We start from the raw sequence: 20379 nt of genomic DNA on the forward strand, positions 1-20379 counted from the left end.
TCCAGCCTGAGTGACAGAGCAAGACTCCGACTCAAAACAAAACAAAACAAAACAAAACACTGAGACCTAATCATAAGACTACAGAATGCTTCCCTTCCCCATATACCATACCATCACATTATTAAAGGTCTAGTGAGAGCAGTTCCTTTTACCCAGGATATCACATTCAGTAACAAGAAGTTACAAGGCACACTAAAAGGCAAAAAGCAAAGTTTAAAGAGATAGCACAAGCATCCAAACCAGGCTCTGACACGGCAGGGATGTTGGGATAACCCGACCAGATGCAAAGGGCTCCAGTGGATAAAGTACACAGCACACAAGAACAGATGGACAATGTAAACAGAGATCAAAATCCTAAGAAAGAACAAAACCGAAATGCTGGAGCTCTAAAACACTCTAACTTTGGAAATGAAGAATGGCCTTGAGACTAGACATGGCTGAGGACGAAATCTCTGAGTTTAAGGATTCTCAACAGAAACCTCTAAAACTGAAAAGCAAAATGAAAAAAGACTGAAATAAACCAGAATGGAATATTCAGGAGCTGTGGGATAACTACAAAGGGTGTAATGTATGTGTAACAGGAATACCAAGAGGAAAACAAAGAGAGAAAAGAACAAAAGTAGTATTTGAACAAATAATGACTCAGGATTTCCCCATGTTAATGTCAGGCCCCAAACCACAGTTTGTCAGGAGGCTCCCACAACACCAAGTAGGATAAATGCCAGAAAAACTATAGATAAGCATGTAAGTTTCAAACCACAGAAAATCAAATATTTAACAAAATCCAGAAAGAAGACAGAGGGAAAAAAGCCTTATCTATAGAAAAGGAAAGAATGATTTCAACTTCTACCCAGAAACCATGCAAGCAAGGAGACGGCAGGGTGAAATATTTAAGTACTGAAAGAAAAAATCACCACCTAGAATCTGCACCCTATGAAAATGTCCTTCAACACTGAGAGAGAAATACTTTTTCAGACAACCGGAAACTGGGGGAATTTGTTGCCAGTAGATCTTCCTTGAAAGAAATGTTAAAAGAAGCTCTTCAGAGAAAAGGAAAATGATATAGGTCAGAAACTCAGATCTAAGAAAAGAAAGGAAGAACATCAGAGAAGGAGTAAAATAAAAATGTTTATTTTTCTTATTCTTAATTCATCTAACAGATAGCAATTTGGCCAAAATAATAAGATAGCAACAATATATTGATTATGCATGCCTATGTATAAGTAAAATGAGTGATGGCAATGATACAAGGACAGGAGGGAAGAATCAGGATTATTTTGTTATTGTAAGGAGGCTGGGCACAGTGGGTCAAGCCTATAATCCCAGCACTTTGGGAGGCCGAGGAAGGCGGATCACTTGAGGTCAGGAGTTCAATACCAGCCTGGCCAACATGGTAAAACCCTGTCTCTAATAAAAATTTAAAAAATTAGCCAAGTGTAATGGCGAGTGCCTGTAATCCCTGCTACTTGGGAGGCTGAGATAGGCAAATTGCTTGAACCTGGGAGGCGGAGGTTGCAGTGCGCCAAGATCAGGCCACTGAACTCCAGCCTGGATGACAGAGTGAGACTCAATCTCGAAAAAAAAAAAAAAAGAAAAAAGATTATTTTGTTATCATAAAGTACTTGTCCTACTCAGGAAGAAATATAGTGTTCTTTGAAAATGGACTTCAATTACTAGTAGACCTATATTACAAACTCTAGGGAAAACACTAAAAAAAAACAAGTGAAGTATGATTAATATGCTAAGAAAGGAGAGAAAATGGAATCATATTTAACATACTCAAAACCACAAAAGAAAAAATGTGGAATACAAAAATAGAAACAAAGAACAAGACCAACAAATAGAAAACATTAACAAATACAGTAGATGTTAATCCAACTATATCAGATCCCCTGAAATGTATGTGATATTGTTGCAAGAACAGACAAATAGACCAAAGGAACAGAATACAGCCCAGGAAAAGAGTCACACAAATGTAGTCAACTGATCTTTAGCAAAAGAGAAAAAAGTAATACAATGGGGAGAAGATAATTTTTTTCAACAAATAGTGCTGGAACTAGAAATCCACATGCAAAAAAAAAGAATCTAAACGAACACCTTATATCTCTCCCAAAAATTAACTCTAACTGGATTACAAAATTAAATGTAAAAGGCAAAACTGTAAGAGTTCTAGACGATAACACAGGAGAAAGTCTAGATGACCCTGGATTTGGAAATAACTTTTTAGATAGCAAACCAAAGGCATGACCCATGAGAGAAAAATTTAGTAAGTATTAAACATTTTTGCTCTGCAGAAGACACTGCCAAGAGATGAAAAGACAAGCTACAGACTGGGAGAAAATATTTGCAAAAGACGTATCTCATAAAGGACTCCAAAATATACAAAGAACTCTTAAATCTCAACAATAAGAAAATGAACAACCCAATTAAAAATGGGCCAAAGACCATAACAGACATCTCTTCAAAGATATATGAATGGCAAATAAGCATATGAAAAAATGTTCCACATCACCTGTCATCAGGGGAATGCAAAATGAAACAACAGTGACAGAAACTCTCATCCATTGCTCATGGGAATACAAAATGGTACAGCCACTTTGGAAGACAGTTTGGCAGTTTCTTAAAAAACTAAACAATACTCTTATGAAACTACCCAGCAACTACATTCTTTGGTGTTTACTCCAAGGAGCTGAAAATTTATATTCAAACACAAACTTGCACACAGATGTTTATAACAGCTGTGTTCAAAAATTGCCAAAACTTGGAAGAAACCAGGATGTCCTTCAGTAGGTGAATAAACTGTGGTACATCCAGACAATGGAATATTGTTTAGCTCTAAAAAGAGATGAACTATCCATGTGAAAACACATGGAAGGAACCTTAAATGCATATTGCTAAGTGAAAGAAGCAAATCTGAAAAGGCTACATACGGTATGATTCCAACTATATGACATTCTGGAAAAGGCAAAGCTACGCAGACAGTAAAAGATCCATCCATGGTTGCCAGGGATGAGGGAGGGAGAGATAAACAGGCAGAGTACAGGAGATTCTTAGGGCAGTGAAACTACCCCATATGACACTGTAATGGTGGATACATGTCACTATACATTTGTCCACACCCACAGAATGTACAACCACAACAATGAACCCTAATGTAAAATACAGACTGTGGCTGATAATGATGGATCCGTGTAGGTTCATCAGTTATAATAAATGTGCCACTCTTGTGGGTGATGTTGATAAGGAGGTAATGTATGCATGCATGGAATAGGGGGGATATGGAAAATCTCTGAACCCTCTGCTCAATTTTGTTTTGAGTCTAAAACTGCTCTAAAATATAAAGTCCATTAAAAAAAAATCCAGACCCCCTACCTTATGCAATACCCCAAATTAATCTCAGATGATTCACAGACCAAATTGAAAAATAATAATAACAACATTTCTGAAAGAGGAAAACATAAGAAACTATCTTCATGACCTTGGGGTGGGCAAAGATTTCACAAATAGGACAGGAAAAGCACTAAACATATGCTTTTTTAAAAGTGATAAACTAGACTTTGTTAAAATGAGGAGCTCTGTTTATCAAGCAATATTAAGAGTTTAAACTGGCAAAGACAGGCCAGGCACAGTGGCTCACGCCTGTAATCCCAGAACTTTGGGAGGGTAAGATGGGTGGATTACTTGAAATCAGGAGTTCGAGATCAGCCTGACCAAACTGGTGAAACCCCATCTCTACTAAAAATACAAAATTAGCTGGGCATGGTGGTGCATGCCTGTAATTCCAGCTACTTGGGAGCTGAGACAGGATAATCACTTGAAGCCAGGAGGCGGAGGGTGCAGTGAGCAAAGATCACACCATTGCACTCCAGCCTGGGCAACAAGAGTGAAACTCCACCTCAAAAAAATAAAATAAATAAACTGGTAAAGACAGACTGGGAGAAGATATATTCAGTACCTGTATCTGGACTTGTATTCAGAACCACTATTACTTGCAAAATCATGGAGGAATCTCTGAACACTATGTTGAATGTTATTATAATATTATAATTGAGTTATTATATTATAATGTTGAGAAATCAGACACAAAGGCATAAACAATCGTTTCATTTATATAAAGTTCAAAAACAAGCAAAACAAAAATAAATTCAAAAGTTCAATAATAGGCAAAATTAATCTACGATGATAAAAGTTGGCATAATTGTTCATAATATATAAACTATATAAAAATATAGTTGAAGGCCAGGCACAGTGGCTCATGCCTGTAATCCCAGCATTTTGGGAGGCCAAGGTAGGAGGATCACTTGAAACCAGGAATTCAAGACCAGCCTGGGCAACAAACAAGAACCCATCTCTCAAAAAAAAATTTTTTAGCCAGGTGTGGTGGAGCACATCTCTATCCCAATTACTAGGGAGGCTGAGGCAGGAGGATTGCTTGAGTCCAGGAGTTCAAGACCAGCTTGGGCAACAAAATGAAATCACCATCTCCACAAAAATAATAATAATTAATAACATATATATAGTTGCAAAAATATGTACAACATGATTTCAATTTTATAAGTGAAATATAGACACATATGTATGAACATGCATAAAAACTGTAGAAGATGTAATACAATATAGTAACTGTTTACCTTTGAATTCTGGTAAAGTATGAGTCATTTTCTTCAATATTTATTTTCTAAATGTAAAGTTTTTAGCAGATATGCTATGCAATTCTTTAAGCTGATGAAAGGAAATGCCTTTGACTTCTTTATTATTGATACTCTTGGTTCAAAAGGTCAGTATTCATTACATTCAGATCTATTATTTGCTCTCCCCATTTCCATCTTTCCCATTCATCCCTCCATACAATGGCTTCCACACAAAACACTGCACCATACTTTCTTTTTGACATAGTAATTAAAGACCAACTGGTAAAGCTGTTTTCTTTTTTGTCGTACCTTTACTTGGTAATCTTTCTGGAAACTCACTGTTTCCTTGAGTTGCATGGAATTGAACCAATATCTTTATCAAATTCTTCCCAGACTCACTCTCTATGTGCTTCACGTTGAAAGCTTCAACACTTTTGTTCCCGCAGGCTCCCTCTTTGCCTTCTTTAGGCACTTCTTGGGTCATCCCATCTGCTTACTTGCCTTTAACTACAATCCGTTGCTAAAGAGATGACTTTCCGATCTACCCCGGTATTCCTTCCCCAATGTTCTCCTGAGTCTCCAAACCCATAGAAGCTATTATCCACTAGACATTACCTGATGCCTCAACACGAACTTAAGATGCAATACACTTACATTTCTCTAAAACGATATTAGGTAAAAGGTCTGGAGGGAACCAGTTTACTAAGGAGTTAGCCAGCTTGCAGACACTGGCTTTAGACAACACATTTGCACAAATCAAGCACAGCAGTCTTGTCTGATTTCAGAAGTGGCTGAAAGCAGGATAACATTTTAGCTAAGCAGAGCAGGGTAAAATGGCATTAAATCCAAGCTGAATGGAATCAGCCCTGGGGGATCTATGCCTGTGGATAGGGGTCCCACGGTTTACATGAAAGTTAAAGCCTTCAAAAAAGTGGTAGGAAACAGATATCCAGATTAGCCAGATGGGTTAAGGCTCAAGAATAGACTTTGGCACCGATGATGAGAGGTGGAAATAAACCAAATAGGTCAATAAGAAGGGAAACTTGTCAGAACCATGAAACGGAGACGAGCTCATCCTAAAGGAAAGGAAAGAAGAAGATATATTTCATCGACTACAAGAAACTCTAGGATAAAGGCCATGCCATGATTTAATGTATCATTATCTTATTTTTCTCCTTTGTGAAAGTCTCAATGCCACCAATTAAATGCAACATGTCATTTCTGGCTGCATTCAATTTTCAAAATGTTCAAAAGTGACAAAATGTGCATGCTGCAACTTGGGAGTAGCTGAGACTTTGTCCTCAGTGTGCTAAGGACAGAAAATGTGACTGTCAGGCCTCTAGGATGGGAAGGATGCTGGGACATCACACACTCCTGCTGCTCCCTACTACTGGCCAACAAGCAGGAAACTGAGCAGGATGAATGACTACACTGTCTTTAACATGACAGTCATAGAGAAGTGTAATGACAAGGAAAAATACTTATGACACGATGTTAAACAAAAACAAAAGTAACATATAAGATGGAATTAAATTTGCAAAAAAGCATGCCCTCCCCCAGTGGATTAAGTAGAAGTACTTCAAATGTTAATTACTGTGTTAAGGTCCTGGAATTATAGGTATTTCTTTCCTTGCTTCTTTGTATTTCTCTTTACTTCCCCCAAATTTCCATAAGCAGCACATAATATTTTTATAATCTGATATAAGGTCAAATGTGAAATGTTTGTTTTTTAATTTGCAAATTGTGGGCCACACACATAAATTGGTTTATTTAAATATTAGATAGAGGGCTATCTCATTAATGTACAATAAGCCCTTCGTAACAATGGAACAACCATTATTCAAATAATGATGTCAGGTCAGAGTATCCTAACATCTGTAGAGAGAGGGCCAATGGTCATTGTTAAGGTGCAATGCAAGAAATTATGTTGGTCATTTTTCTTTTTTAAATATGAGGTTTCAAGAATGTTAATGCTATTACTTAAACAGAGAAAAGAATTAAATAGTTCAGTTTACTACTGGATCTTGACCTTGGCATAATCATAGTTCAGCAGAAACACATCTGGTCACATTGCTGATAAAAGTTTACTGCTAAAAGCTGGCAGTGTTTTCTTGTATAAGATATATTTCTCTTTTTTTAAAAAAAGGACTGTTTGACAAGTAGCTATCGTGGACGGAAATTGAAGCTAACACATTTTTTACTCTGGTATCTTGATGGAAGTGGTTTTTAGCCCACATACTCAAGTACCAATATATTTCTCTCCTCATATTGAAAAGGAACATTTTGACAAAGGATAAAGATCTGGAAATGTAAACACTGTACTTGCCAAGAGTTAAAAACAAAATATGCTACCTTCTTCTTTGGGTAGTACTAGATCAGAAATAGGCTGAAAATCTTGGGACAAATCAAAATTTTTTGTTTATAAAGTTTAAGAAATTCTCTTCAAATGCCTTTCCTTGCTCAGGCATAGTAAAAGTCTAATCAAATAACAGAAGATAACAGTATGGATGTTCTAATTAAAATATCTGAAATAACACTCTTATTTATAGTAATCTGGTATCATTTGAGTTTTTATTTTTTATTGTAATATATTTATTTTGAGACAGTCTCGCTCTTGTTGACCAGACTGGAGTTCAATGGTGTGATCTCGGCTCGCTACAACCTCCGCCTCCCGGGTTGAAGCAATTCTCCTGCCTCAGCCTCCCGAGTAGCTGGGATTACAGGTACCTGCCACCACTCCTGGCTAATTGTTTTTTTGTATCTGTAGTAGAGACGGGGTTTCACCATATTGGCCGGGCTGGTCTTCAACTCCTGACCTCAAGTGATCTGCCCGCCTCAGCCTCCCAAAGTGCTGGGAATACCGGCGTGAGCCACTGCGCCCAGCCAGCATTTGAGTTTTTATATGTTTGACCCTAGCTAACCCATATAACTACAAAATATATGTTTTAAGTGCTAAACAACAGTAAAACAAATCTTTCTTAATAGCATCTACTATGTCTTATAAGATCAGACATTCAGAAGGAAGTAACAGCTTGAGTCAATTTAAAGGAAAAGTTTTAAGAGCAGCATCCTGCCACACATCTTCTCTCACAAGGCAACAAAAACAATGCCAAGAACGAGAAACAACAACTCTAATTGCTACAAAATGCTCAGAAAGTCACTGCCCTAATGTGTGGGCAGTTTAAATTGCCCAAAGAAACATTCCAACAAGAATTACATAGAGACAATAATGACTTCTATTTAAGATGCTCCTGGGTTGAAATTATTTTCTAACTTTAAGTTACTGCATTACTGTCATGAGCAAACCCAGAGTGATTACAATTGAATTCATCACCCAAAGGCCAGTGACTTCAAGGTAAGAATTCAGTTTTTGGAACATTTTGACCAAAGACAGGAAGTAAACTATTAAGCTATTGTGTTAATGTTTCCTTGTCATTTTCCATACTCAAAGAACACAGCCTAGATAACAATGTCAGATGGGCCTGACTTTGCAAGCTCCTGCTGTTTACTCCCATTTAAATCCATTCTAATTTTTATGCTATGTAAATCCAAGACCGCTTAGAAACTAAAGAGGCCTTTTTGCATTTCTTAAATAACATCAGTATTAATAACCAAAGAAGGCATGGATTTAACTTCCCGGGCATAAAACAGCAAAAGAAACCCACAAAGACTTAATCGGCTGGACAACTGGTAAAACACATATAGTACTTTACAAATCTCTGTTGAGTTTCCACCCATTCATTCTTTTAAGAAACAGGCTGGGTGCAGTGGCTCACACCTGTAATCCCAGCACTTTGGGAGGTTGAGGCAGGCGGATCACTTGAGGTCAGGAGTTTGAGACCAGCCTGGCCAACATGGTGAAACCCCATCTCTACTAAAAATACAAAAACTAGCCGGGCATGGTGGTACGCACCTGTAATCCTAGCTACTGGGGAGTCTGAGGCATGAGAATCACTTGAACCCGGGAGGTAGATGTTGCAGTGAGCCAAGATCACGCCACCACACACCAGCCTAGGCAACAGAAAGAGACTCCATCTCAAAAAAAAAAAAAAAAAAAAAAAGAAGAAAGAAATAAAAAAAGAAACATTTATCAGGACTGGAGCAGTGGCTCATGCCTATAATCCCAACACTTCCAAGGCAGGAAGATTGCCTGAGGCCAGGAGTTTGAGACTGTCTCTACAAAAAAAAAATCAAAAAATTAACTAGGCATGGCAGCATGTGCCTGTGGTCCCAGTACTTGGGAGGCTGAGGCAGGAGGATCATTTGGGCCCAGGAGTTGGAGGCTCCAGTGAGCTATGATGGTGCCACTGTGTTCTAGCTTTGGTGACAGAGCAAGACCCAGTCTCCAAGAAAAAAATGGAAGCATTTATCAAATACCTTAAAGTGTACTATGCTAGACATTGTGCAGAATTCAGACATAAGGAAGGAATCCAGCTCAGGAGAGAGCAGCTAAGACAAAACAGAAGAAAAACAGTGTTTTTTAATAGATATAAAACTTAGGAAGGGAAAAAGGGGCAGCTAATTGTAATCAGAAAAGACTTTGCAGTAGTGGTAATCACAAAACTGGGTCCAGGAGGTGCACAGAATTTCTACAAGTCAAAGAATGGAAAGAAAGAACATTCCTTCCAAAATCTGGGGAGACAGTAACCGAAGACTCAGAAGGGAGAAGATGGTGGGCACGTGTGCAGAAATGGCAACGTAAGCAGGGAAGCATGGCCCTCCTGGGGAATAAGGTGAAAAATGAGCCAGGAAATGTACATCGAGGCCAGACAGTGATGGGTTAGGAATGTCAAAGTAAGCGCTGGGCACAGGAGAGAAAGGCAAGTTTTCTGGGACAGTGACTCCCATATCTGGCTGCATACCAAATGACGCCTGGGATGTCTAACAAGCAGATCTCAGATGCCATGAGGACCAGGAAACTGTCATTTTTTTAAGCTCCTGGGGTGATTCTCATTATCAGTCAGATGTCAAGAAGGCACAAAGAACGCTTAGAAAAGTGACAGAAAGGAAGCAAGGAAGGAAAGAAGGAGGATTAATGGAAAAGCAGAACCAGATGATTACTTTAGGTGAAAAAGAAAAGGAAGCTAAGTATGCCATATGAAAACACACAAGAAAGGCCAAATGTTTGCAGAAAATGACATTCAATGTGAACATTCTGAGGCTATTGATGGCTTAGGAAATTTGGTTCTAGAAATTCAGGAAAATTAACTTTATATTTAAACGTATACTATTTGCAGACATCTTTTTTTTTTTTTTTTTTTAGATAGGGGTCTCACTGTCACCCACACTGGAGTGCAGTGGCGCAATCTCGGCTCACTACAACCTCTGCCTCCCAGGCTCAAGTGATTCTCCCACCTTAGCCTCCTGAGTAGCTAGGACCACAGGTAATTTTTGTATTTTGTTTTTTGGTAGAGACGGGGTTTTGCCATGTTGCCCAGGCTGGTCTTGAACTCCTGACCTCAAGCGATCTGCCCACCTTGGCCTCTCAAAGTGCTGGGATTACAGGTGTGAGCTACCACACCTGGCCTGCAGACGCCTCTTTTAAGGTGGTTACGTACAGTCGGTCCTTCATATCTGTGGGCTCCATTTCCACACATTCAACCAACCATGGATGAAAAATATTTGGAAAAAATAAAACAATTAAAAATCACACAAATATTTAAAATGCAGTATAACAACCACTTACATGGCATTTACATTGTACTACATATTATAAGTAATGTAGAGATGATTTAAAGTATACAGGAAGATAAGTGTAGATTATGTGCAAATACTATGCCATTTTATTTTTATTATTTATTTATTTTTTTTGAGACAGAGTCTCACTCTGTCACCCAGGCTGCAGTGCAGTGGCATGATCTTGGCTCACTGCGGCCTCCACCTCCCAGGTTCAAGTGATTCTCCTGCCTCAGCCTCCCAAACAGCTGGGATAACAGGTGCATGCCATCACAACTGGCTAATTTTTTGGTATTTCTAGTAGAGATGGGGTCTGACCATGTTGGCCAGGCTGGTCTTGAACTCCTGACCTCAAGTGATCCGCCTGCCTCACCCTCCCAAAGTCCTGGGTTTGCAGGCAGGCGTGAACCACCATGCTTGGCCTATGCCATTTTATATAAACTTGAGCATCTGTGGATTTTGGTACCCATGGGGAGTCCTACAACCAATCTTCCATAGATTCCGGGTTGGGTATCTATGGGGAATTGGTTCTAGGACCAATTGTTATTAATTAACTTTGGGAGTATATATACCCCTCTCCTTAAATGAATGAAAGGCAAATGATACATACAAAGCATTGTGCTACAAACTTAAGAAGAACTCAATAATTATTTAACAAATAGTAAATGTTCAAAATTCCTTGAAGAAGTCTCTAAAAAGTTGAACGCTATATTTCATCTTTTTTTATTTTAAAGAGAAAAGAGGAAAAAGTACCTCTGTTCTTTTCTTCCATCTTTCTTTCTTCTTAACTTCAGTACACACCTGAGGGTTGTTTATTTATTTTTAAGATGTCATAATTCTTACCTTGACTGCCAAGGCTTTTAAACTGTCAAGGAATTGCTGCCAGAAATCCTTGAAGAGTGGGCGGTCGATTTTCTTCAGGCTGTCTTTGGTACTGGCATCCACACTGACATACAGCTGAGTAACTGGCTCGAGGTTCCTTAGTAATTTTTTTTTTTAAAGGAAGAAAGAAAAATTATTCCTCTATCAGGCTTTCCATGATATAAAACCTGTAATAGACATGGGTATTAAACACTTCACAGGGTCTAGAGACTTCCACTTCCCCCAAAAGACTGAACTAATGATTTTAATCATGTGACAAAATGGGACGGCCTCTGGTTGTTTTTTAAATGACTGGAAACCATCCCTAATACATTGAAAATATTGAATTACTTAAAATTGGCCCTTCTTCAAATACTAAGTTTGAATGGAAAATAAACAAAATGTGATCTAACTTCAGGTATGACAGCATCAGCCCAGCACAATTAGAGGGGCTCTCTGATCTAACTTTCCCACCCACACACTCTGCCGACCACATGGGGTCTGTGCTGCTGGGCCACCTCCCTCCATCAATCACTGACGGAAGTCTTCTAAGGAACAAGAAACAATCCCAAAAGCTCAGGCCTTATTCAAAGGACGCTGAGTCACACCTATGCTTCCATAAGCAGGACTGGGTTTCATGTCAAGCCTTGGGTGGGCAAACAATGATCCATCTGGGGAACTTTATGTAGTGCAGACCTAAAACAGTAGAAACCTCATACTTACACAGGAGCACAGCCCAGAAGAAAAAAATGAATTCTTATTTTCCTTGCCTTTACAATCAGTTTCCATGAATACCACTCATTCTCCGCTTCTCTCAAATTCACTGCCTCATTTCATAATTTCATTCCTACCTACTAGATTTCTAGTAGGTCCTTCTCCTACTAGGTCTTTTCCCCCGGCCCAGTCCCCAGACAGGATCTCATTCTCATCCAGGCTGGAGTGCAGTGGCACAATCACAGCTCACCGCAGTCTCAACCTCCCAGGTTCAAGTGACCCTCTTATCTCAGTGTCTCAAGTAGCTGGGACCACATGCATGTGCCACCACGCCCGGCTAATTTTTAAAATTTTTTTGTAGAGACAGGGGTCCCACTACGTTACCTAGGCTGGTCTGGAACTCCTGGGCTCAAGCGATCCACCCACCTCAGCCTCCCAAACTGTTAGAATTAGAGGCGTGAGCCACTGCACCCGACCCTACTAGATTTCTTGCAAGTTATACATTAAACCTAGACTATACTTTTTCTTTTCTTTTTTTTTTTTTTTTTGAGATGGAGTCTCCCTCTGCCATCCAGGCTAGAGTACAGTGGTGCAATCTCAGCTCACTGCAACCTCTGCCTCCAGGCTCAAGTGACTCTCCTGCCTCAGTCTCCTAAGTAGCTGGGATTACAGGTGTACCCTGCCACATCCGGCTAATTTTTGTATTTTTAGTAGAGAAGGGGTTTCACTATGTTGATCAGGCTGGTCTTGAACTCCTGACCTCAGGTGATCCACGCACCTTGGCCTCCCAAAGTGCTGGGATTACAGGCGTGAGCCACTGTGCCTGGCCTAGACTGTACTTTTTCTAAAGCCTCTCCCCTTCTCTCTTCAAATAGGTCTCATAATTCAATCTCTTCAGTAAATTTAGAACTAGAAAAAACAAATTCCCCCTTAATCATCTTCTGATCAAATTCTCCCAATATTCTTTTTCTATAAGGATTCCACAATTTATTCCACATTTCCACCTAGAAGTTTTATGCATTTTTTGTTTCAAAGTCCATGCATTTTTAAAAAATGAAAATATCATTCACATTCCATACAATTCACCACTTTAAAATGGTTTATGTGCTTTATATACGTATCAGTAGCAGCCTTATCAATCTTTGAGTGTAAGATCTTGAAGAGCAAGAATCCTGTTTTTCTTTTTATCCAGCCACACAGGCAGATATTAAAGCTACTTTTTAGGAGATATTGTTGATTTCAGCAGACAGAATTTTTAAGGGAATATAGGCCAAACAGATGCTTGCAATGATGTGGCTTAGTGATATATAGAAAAATCACAAGTGTCTAGACTTCTGTTCACTTCTGTTAAAAGTGGAGAGGCTCTGACCAAATGTAGGACAGAGGTGATTAAGATCCTGGCAGGCTCTCATTGCTTTAATGCCTCTGCAATACCGATGTACTAAGGGGATCCTTTGAAGTTCAGGTAATGTGTCACTACTGAGCAAAGCACGTTAATTACTGAAAATGTAAAACAAAAGCATCAGTAATAACAGCATTCTGTCTCATCACCCCTTTGCTGAGTGCCTCTTTAATAAAAGACAAGCTATGCTTCCTTAACTGGATTTCTACTTAAAAAAAAAAAAAAAAAAAAAAAAAAAAAAGGACTGTCTTAATGGTTACTGCTGGCTATCATCATCTGATAACTAACAGGACTTTGTCAAAAGCTTCCTGATGCAAAATGAGAACTGCCCTGACCTTTTCACTATGCTTCCATAACTACTTAAGATTATGAACAGTACATTCCAAAGGCCATACTCCTTTTACAAACCTCTATCATTTACAAAATAGGAAGGCCTGGACACTGATACTACTACTAAGGAATTCTAGCCTATACTAGATGTCTGAGATGCTACACCCAAGGAAGTCCAATAAGGAATTCTAGTCAATACCAGATGTCTGAGATGCTGCACTCAAGGAAGTCTACAGATCTCTCGTCAAGGAGCAGAGGAAGAATGGAGAAGAGGAAAAGGTCCCCAGGAATTACAGAGCTCATTTCTAAGGGGCTCAAAATTAGCAAAGAGACTTTTGGAGATGTTTTCTGAGCTTTAGGGATCTTATTTCTGCCTCACACTGGTCTCTATTCACCCAGAAGAGATAATGAGGCTCCCAGTAGAGTCACTTATCTGTCTCTATTCTATACAGGATAACAAATGTTCCCAAAAAGCAAAAAAGTCTTACATCATCAAAATCACCATAATAATTCCTGTATCTGAGAATCTCACAGCACTGCTGGGAGTAATTAAAAAGGATATCCTCTGCTCTCCCAAAAAAAGACAATATTTAAGATAGACAACCTTAAGCCCAATCCTCTGTACAAATGCCCCAGGATTCTTGATGTGAGTACTGTAAGGACCCTTCATCTTAATTTTAAATCTCTGAGTGAAGAATTATCATATATAAAAATGTGCTGATGAACATAAAAATCCCTCTCCCATGTTGCCTTTCTGTAGAGATTATCAGGCCTCTTTCTACCTTCCAAGGCTCAGAAGGTAGAATGAGGCCTGACATATCTGCAGGAAAAAAAAGGAGAGAGATTTATGTTTGTAAGAAATTCAAGTAAACAGTGACTTTGAAGCTCCTCCTTGGGATAAAAAAAAATAAGCAGAGTGACCCAAACAAGCAATGATATTAAAACCTAAATCTCTAAGACAATCTGGGGCTGTCAGAACAAGCCAAATAGCTCAGGAGGAAGAGAGGAGGAGGGTGAAAGAGAAGGAGAGAATTATTTACCACTCACCGAGCTGGCACACTCTGCCGTGTGCTTTACCCTTCTTGATCAGTTCACTGAATCCTCACAATAAAATGACCATGTAGTTGCTACTTATGCCCATTTTAGAGACGATGAAGCTGAGGTTCAAAAGGTTAAGTAACATGTGCAAGGATCTATAAAGAATAAGCATCAGGCCGGGCACAGTGGCTCATGCCTGTAATCCCAACACTTTGGGAGGCTGAGGCAGGAGGATCACCTGAGGTCAGGAGTTCGAGACCAGCCTGGCCAACATGGTGAAACCCCATCTCTACTAAAAAATACAAAAATTAGCCAGGCATGGTGGCGCATGCCTGTAATCCCAGCTACTCAGGAGGCTGAGGCACAAAAATCACTTAAACCCAGGAGGCGGAGGCTGCAGTGAGCCGAGATCACGCCACTGTACTCCAGCCTGGGCAACAGAGCAAGACTCCATCTCAAAAAAAAAAAAAAAGAAAGAAAGAAAGAAAAGAAAAACAGTAAGCATCAAGGAGATTCAAGTCCAGAGATGAACCCAGAGCCTTTCTCCTAACCCTGCACCATGATGGCAAAATCCACAGTGTGGCTCAGTGTTCAAGTCACAGCGGTTACATGTAACAAACAGTATTCCATAAATGAAAAATCCAAGAGAATACGGATGATCTGTGAAATGCAGATTCTGACTGCAAAGTCCTAAGAGAAGCCAAAACAACAAGTCCTCAGGAAGAAATTCTGAACTTAATTCTCTTCAGGGGCTTATGCACTTCATTCAACATTTATTCAGGGATTACTACGAACTGGACACTGAGGCCAAGAGGCTCAGCCCTTAATATTTACATTCTGGAGGGAACAGAAGATGGATGAGAGTCCCACCACGCAGCGCCATGACTAAGGTGGGGAAAATGTAATGGGTATAAATGGAGGAGTGAGTTGATTTTGCTTGGCAAAATCATACAAAAGACGTAACAAGGTCAAAGTCAAAGCTGATCTCTGAAGGACACAGAGTTCATCAGGAAGAGAATGAGATCATTTCCAGGGATGTCCAAAGAAGAAATGCAAAGGCCCGCAGCTGTGAGATGCAGCAGGATAAAGGAATCACAAACTATCCCCCCATGGCTCTAACATGGCAAATGGAATTGGGGGATGCCTGCAGCCAGGTCTCATGTCCTGCCAGGGTTAGGTTTGGCTTACTGAAGTTTTATGTAGCCAGTGACACAGTCAGATCAGTGCTGATGAAAGTCACGTGGCTCCAGTGTGATGGACGGATTAAAAAGCCAGCACAGTGCACCGTTCTGCATCTGGCTCCCCTGTGCCTCCCACTTATCACCAATCCAACAACCTCTTAACCACAATTTAAAAATCCAAAAAGCTCTAATAACCGAAAGGTTGCTTTTCTAAGTTGGGAGACATACTTACCTCAAAGTAGAATCTGACTTACAAAGCTGTTTGTATTCTTAATTTTTCTTTTCTTTTTTTTTTTTAAAGACAGAGTCTTGCTCTGTCACCCAGGCTGGAGTGCAGGGGCGTGATCTCGGCTCACCACAACCTCCACCTCCCGGGTTCAAGCAATTCTCCTACCTCAGCCTCCCAAGTAGCTGGTTCTACAGGCACGCACCACCACACCTGCCTAATTTTTGTATTTTTAGTGGAGATGGGGTTTCGCCATGTTGGCCAGGCTGGTCTTAAACTCTTGGCCTCAGGTGATCTGCCTGCCTCGGCCTCCCAAAGTACTGGGATTACAGGCGTGAGCCACTGTGCCTGGCCAAATTTTTCCATTTCTGTGACTAAGCATACTTTATTGTAGAACTAATTACATGTGTGTGGCTCTAGGGTGGTGGAGATATTCCATAAAATACAGTGGATAAACTGTATTGTCTTTCTAAAATTCTGAAACACTTTTGGGCACATGGGATAAGAGATTGTGAACTTGTAGAAATCATTCCATATCAATACATAAAGAGCTTTTACACTTTTTTTTTTTTTTTTTTTTTTTTTTTTTTTTTTTGTGAGACAGAGTCTCGCTCTGTCACCCAGGCTGGAGTGCAATGGCACAATCTTGGCCCACTGCAACCTCTGCCTCCCAGGTTCAACCGATTCTCCTGCCTCAGCCTCCGGAGTAGCTGGGATTATAGGCACCCACCACCACGCCCAGCTAATTTTTTGTATTTTTAGTAAAGACAGCGTTTCGCCACATTGGCCAGGCTGTTCTTGAATTGACTGCAGGTGATCCACCTGCCTCAGCCTCCCAAAGTGCTGGGATTACGGGTGTAAGCCACCACGCCTGGACCTTTCTTTGATTTTCTAACAACTACAAAGAATGCACTTTGTGATTTCTCTTTGATATCCTGGTTATTTAACAGTGTGTTGTTTAATTTCCACATATTTGTGAATTTCCCAAATTCTAGTTTGTGAAGTTCTTGGTCAGTATTTGTTCAAATATTCTTTCTTCTCATTTCTCTCTCTCCTGTCCTTCTGGAATTCCCTTTATAAATATGTTGGCATGCCTGAAGGTGCCCCATGGGTCTCTGAGAGACTTCAGTGATAGTCTATTTGATGAGTCATCATTTTCATACTTTTGTTTCTTTGAAAATGTTTTTCTGGCCAGGTGTGGTGGCTCATGCCTGTAATCCCACCACTTTGGGAGGGCGAGGGGGGCAGATCACTTGAGGTCAGGAGTTCAAGACCATCCTGGCCAACAAGATGAAATCCTGTCTTTTCTAAAAATACAAAAATTAGCCAGGAGTGCCACATGCCTCTAATCCCAGCTGCTCAGGAGGCTGAGGCAGGAGAATTGCTTGAATCGGGGAGGCGGAGGTTGCAGTGAGCTGAGATTGTGCCACTGCACTCTAGCCTGGGTGACAGAGCAAGATTCCATCTCAGAAAAAAAAAAAAAGAAAAGAAAATGCTTTCCTGTAGTTCTTTGAACACATTTAAAATAGCCAATGTCAAATCTTTGTCTAGTAAGTCCAACATCTAGGCTTCCTTGTAGATGGATTCTATTCTGTTTCCTTTCAACTGTATAGGACACATTCTTGTTTCTTTGTATATCTTGTCAGTTTCTTTAAACACTAGACATTTTCTTTTTATTTATTTTTTGCGACAAGGTCTCACTCTGTCCCCCAGGCTGGAGTGCAGTCGCATGATCATGGCTCACTGCAATCTTGAACTCCTGAGCTCAAGCAACCCTCCTGACTCAGCATCCTCAGTAGCTGGGACTACAGGCATGCACCAAAACACTTGGCTAATGTTTTAATTTTTTGTAGAGACAGGGTCTCACTATGTTGCCCAGGCCAGTCTCAAACTCCTGGCCTCAAACAACCCTCCCGTCCCAGCCTCCCGAAGTGCTGGGATGATAGACATGAGCCACCACGCCTGGCTATTGTTTTAAATATCATTAGTGGCAACTCCGGAAATCAGATACCTCTCAACCCAGGTTTGTTTGGTTTGGTTGGTTACTTTGGTTTTGGGCATATTGTTTCATTCATTTCTTGGTTTTCTTTTTTGCTGTTTGTTGTGTTTATTTTTGCTGAAATAATTTTGTAAATCCGATATTCATTGTTGTGTTTGGCCACTGAAGTCTCTGTTTGGTTAGCTTAGTGGTCAGCTCATTAATGGACAGAGATATCCTTAAATGCTTCCAACTGGTAAGCCTCCCAGCCTTTGTCAAGGGGCTCTGTGTTTTTGTTAGGGAATGTTCTCATCACCCAGGCAGGCAGTTTGCAACTCTGCCTTGGTTTTCGCTGCCTGCTTACTCGGTAAGAACCAAGAGCACAGGGCCTTCTCAAGTCTTCTCTGGCATGCCCACAGCCCTGATCGTGTGAGTGGGGTTGGAGATTCCCAGGAATACGATGGAGCTTTTCAAAGTCCCCTATGACATCTCATGGCCCAGCTTTTCCTTTTCCATTTATTGGTGAGCTTCTTGTTTGCCCTAGCTGTTAATGCCACTTGAGGCAGCTTTGTGAAGCTAAACAATTGTCTATAATTGTTTAGGAGAAACATCCAAAGGCTTTTTGCACCAGACAAACTTGAGTCACTTCAAATAAAGACAACCCCTGTGAGAGAAAGTTTCCAGGTTTGCCATACAAGTCATATATAATGACAATTTCCCAGGAATGAGACTTTGAAGGAGTTCCCACTCTGTTTTGCCCCCTCCCACAGCTGCCGGGCTGCTGGTTTTTACCGTGGTTGTGAGTTACTGGTTTTCTTTTTTATTTTCTTTTGAAAGGGAGTCTTGCTCTATCCCCCAGGCTGGGGTGGAATGGTGTGATTTCAGCTCACTGCAACCTCTGCCTCCTGGGTTCAAGCGATTCTCTTGCCTCAGCCTCCTCAGTAGCTGGGATTACAGGTGCCCGCCACCACACCCGGCTAATTTTTATATTTCAGTTGAGATGGGGTTTCACTATGTAGGTCAAGCTGGTCTTGAACTCCTGACCTCAAATGATCCGCCCACCTCAGCCTCCCAAAGAGCTGGGATTACAGGCATGAGCCACTGCTCCCAGCCGAGATACTGGTTTTCAAGGCTAGGGAAAGTGAGAATGGAATATAACAAGTTAACATCACAAAGCTCTTTTTTCTTGCTGAGATGCAACCATTTTTTCGTGAATATATGCTCCTCACATTGTTGCATGCCTTTGGTTAATTTCCACAGGTAAAAAAAAGTCGCTTGTGATCATTTTTGCCAGTATTCTCATTGTTTTCACAGAGAAACAAGATTTTTAAGGTCTGTGCTCTGCTATTTCTGCTGACATCCAACCCACATATTTTGTTTTCTTATCTATCATCATTCATCTATCTATCTATCTATATATATATATATATATATATATATATATATATATATATTTTTTTTTTTTTTTTGAGATGGAGTCTCGCTCTTTCTCCCAGGCCAGAGTGCAGTGGCACTATCTCGGCTCACTGCAAGCTCTGCCTCCCGGGTTCCCGCCATACTCCTGCCTCAGCCTCCCGAGTAGCTGGGACTACAGGCGCCCACCACTGCGCATGGCTAATTTTTTGTATTTTTAGTAGAGACAGGGTATCACCGTGTTAGCCAGGATAGTCTCGATCTCCTGACCTCATGATCTGCCCGCCTCGGCCTCCCAAAGTGCTGGGATTACAGGCGTGAGCCACCGCACCCAGCTTATCAGTATATTTTCTATTTCCACTGTAACTTCTTTTTGACCCACAAGTAAATAAGACGTGTGTTGCTTAAATTCCAGAATATTCTAATTATCTCTTGGTATTGGTTTCTAGTTTAATTCCATTGTGTTCAGATATCATGCTCTATACAATTTCGACCCTGTTTTGAAATGTCTATAATGTTCAGCAAATGGCCATTTGGTAATTTTTCTGTGAACAAGTTCTGTGCTCTTGAAAAGAATTTGTATTCAGACCAGACGCGGTGGCTCATGCCTGTAATCCCAGCACTTTGGGAGGCCAAGGCGGGCATATCAGCTGAGGTCAGGAGTTCGAGACCAGCCTAGCCAACATGGTGAAACCATGTTTCTCTCAGAAAATAAAAAAATTAGCTGGTGTGGTGGCGCGCGCCGGTAGTCCTAGCTACTGGGGATGGTGAGGTGGGAGAATCACTTGAATTCGAAAGGCAGAGGCTGCAGTGAGCCAAGATCTCACCACTGCACTCCAGGCTGGGTGACAGGGTGAGACCCTGTCTCAAAAAAAAAAAAAGAAAAGAAAAAGAAAAAAGAAAAAATCTGTATTCCAAAGTTTCTGGTT

At 40.4% G+C, this 20379-nt stretch overlaps 1 protein-coding gene and 1 non-coding gene across 5 annotated transcripts in view, besides 1 other annotated feature; one reads left to right on the forward strand and one right to left on the reverse strand.

Annotated features, from left to right (window-relative positions):
- Positions 1 to 20379, reverse strand: part of TYW1B (tRNA-yW synthesizing protein 1 homolog B) — a 253688-nt gene that overhangs the window by 109024 nt on the left and 124285 nt on the right. For all 4 annotated transcript variants that reach the window (NM_001412180.1, NM_001412179.1, NM_001145440.3 and 1 more), the window contains one exon: positions 11151 to 11286. In NM_001412180.1, the coding sequence (NP_001399109.1) occupies positions 11151 to 11286 (136 nt within the window). The remainder of the gene's footprint in view (positions 1 to 11150; positions 11287 to 20379) is intronic.
- Positions 7930 to 8130: a silencer, noted in NCBI's record as "peak6582 fragment used in MPRA reporter construct". NCBI's record gives its function as "represses an SCP1 promoter by STARR-seq MPRAs in K562 erythroleukemia cells {active_cell/tissue: K562}" and the evidence as "EXISTENCE:reporter gene assay evidence [ECO:0000049][PMID:32103011]".
- Positions 14367 to 14442, forward strand: MIR4650-2 (microRNA 4650-2). The gene has a single exon (NR_039794.1). It is a non-coding gene; the product is annotated as a microRNA 4650-2 (primary transcript).

This window comes from Homo sapiens, chromosome 7, assembly GCF_000001405.40.
Source record: "Homo sapiens chromosome 7, GRCh38.p14 Primary Assembly".
Taxonomy (NCBI): domain Eukaryota; kingdom Metazoa; phylum Chordata; class Mammalia; order Primates; family Hominidae; genus Homo; species Homo sapiens.